Source organism: Homo sapiens, chromosome 11 (genome assembly GCF_000001405.40).
Source record: "Homo sapiens chromosome 11, GRCh38.p14 Primary Assembly".
Lineage (NCBI taxonomy): Eukaryota > Metazoa > Chordata > Mammalia > Primates > Hominidae > Homo > Homo sapiens.
Window position 1 is genome coordinate 91,886,116 of NC_000011.10, and position 2,426 is coordinate 91,888,541.

The window sequence follows — 2,426 nt, forward strand, 5'->3', positions numbered from 1 at the left end:
AGTAAAATAAAATAAAACACATTTGCTCAAAATAGATAAAAAAAAGTTAAACACCCTAATTATAAGTTGAATAATCTGAATGCAGTTTTCAAACAACATGATCATATGCAATTAGCAACAATAAAAAATTAATACAATTTTATAATTATAAGCTTTGATCAAAACAATTAGAAAAACAGACAGAAAAAAAATGGTTTAATATATCAAAATCAGCTCTAGTAGAATTCTAGAAAATGTTTAGTTAGAAAGACAAAATATATTTTGTATAAGAAAGCAGTACAAATGAGAAAATTTTTACATGTATGATTAATAACAGTATTTTATACTTTCATATTTGTGTATGAGAAGATTTTATAAATCAATATTCTATCAGTTTTCTATTGGTACATAAATTATTTCAAAACTTAGCAGCATTCAAAATTAAGCAACAAGCATTTGTTATCTTTATGTTTTTGTGGTTCAGCAATTCAGGAGCAGCTTAGTTGGGTGGCCCTGACAGGGGCATCTCATGAGGTTACAGTCAAGATATTGGCTGTGGCTGCAGTCATTTTAAGCCTTGACTCAGGCTGTAGGATTCACATCCAAGAGGGCTCATTCACATGATATTGACAGGAAGCCCTCCTTAGGGCTCCTAGAGTGTCCTCACAACGTGGCAGCTAACTTTCCATAAAGAGAGTGATCTAAGAGAGTCCACAAAGCACAAAATTGTGTTTTATGACCTAGGCTTGAAGGTCATATACCATCACTTCAGTTATATTCTACCATTCACACAGGAAAACATGAAAACAATGTAGAAGAGGATTACATAAGTGTATTAATACTTGGAAGCTGAATCACTAGCACTTAACTTAGAGCAACTACAACTTAAAAAAAATTGCCCAAAATGCACAAAGACTGTGAATGTCAAATCACCAAGTAAGACATACAAAAATTAAATGAACATGAAAAAACTGACTCCTAATTCTAAAAGCAAATAATATTTAATATGTATTAAGTTCATGCATAAGTAATTGTAGTTTTTGCCATTACTTTTAATCACTTTAATGGCAAAACCATAATTACTTATTCACCAATCTAATAAGCCTGAAAAGTCAAGTGTAGATGAGAATTAAGAGCTATAGAACCCTTACATTGCTGGTGGAGTACAAATAATTTCAGCCACAGTGGAATTCAACATTATCTACCAAAGGTAAAGTTGTGAATATCCTGAGATCTAGCAATACTGCTCCAAACAACTTTTTGCTCTACTCTAGGGAACTTCCTTCACATGTGTACCAGAGAAAATTCAAAAATGTTCTTAGCAACATCATCTGTAATAGCAGAAAAAAAATACTAGAAATAAGGTAATTGGTGTTTGTTATCTCTGAGTTTTGAATTGTGATAAAATTTTAAAGTTTCTTTTTTTCTATTTCTGTATTTCCTAAATTTACCATTACAAATAATGTCAAAAACAAAAATTCCATGGCTAAGACAATAATATCTTAACAATAAGGCGAGTGAAAGGGAGAGAGAGCTAGAAACAAGGGCTTGATATAAGCACTTTCAGATACAATGTGAAGAATATTCCCCTTTAGCTTCCTGATCACATATTGAAATGTAAGAATGAAGGACCATGTTTAAACCCAAACTAATAGTGCTCAAATGACTACAGTGACCTCATTTAAATGTTAGTGCTGGGTATAAAAGGGCAAAATATAAATGCAGCTTTGTGATGACCCTGGACCTAATGATGAGATTGGTGCTAAATAACTAAACCTTTCCCAGAAGGTATAATATTCACATACTCTACAGTTCTCAGGAGCTACTTCGACCCAGACATCCGAGAATCTAGAATACATAGAGCTATTATTCTAACAATAATTCTCAAACACCTCAATGGCTTATAAAGTGTGGTACCTTAAGGCAACACACATCTGTTGCTGCCATATTAAGTGGCTGGATGGGAAACGGTGAGGTGAATCAAAGTTTACAGTATTCTTCCTGCCTTCTCGGCAACCTTATTTCCCAGGCTTTCTCCCACACCCTATGCCCAATCTCTCTTTTCTCTTGCCAGGGGCCTAAGGAGATTAAACCAGTACAGTCTTTCTTGCCTGATCACACCTGATGCTTTTGACATGTGGACCCGGCAACTCACGGGCCAACATCAGACCTTGCTTTCAGAGCATGTCAGCCTGTCTTCCTCTCTTGATCACTGCAGCCCACTTCCAAGACAGGAAGTACTTCTCCTTCTTGGGTGATGATGGACCTTCATGCAGTGAACCTTGAGATTCACTCTCCTACAACGTTTTTACTGATGTGATTATTGTTTTTGAGACATTATTCAAAATAAATCAGATTGTAATTTAACAGAGGATATAGATAAGCAAGCCCACAATTATAGTATATTGTGATGATTACTTAATAGCTAACACTTTCAGAGCATACGT

General features: G+C 34.5%; 1 annotated feature.

The window, feature by feature from the left end:
- Nucleotides 455-655: a silencer, noted in NCBI's record as "peak1391 fragment used in MPRA reporter construct". NCBI's record gives its function as "represses an SCP1 promoter by STARR-seq MPRAs in K562 erythroleukemia cells {active_cell/tissue: K562}" and the evidence as "EXISTENCE:reporter gene assay evidence [ECO:0000049][PMID:32103011]".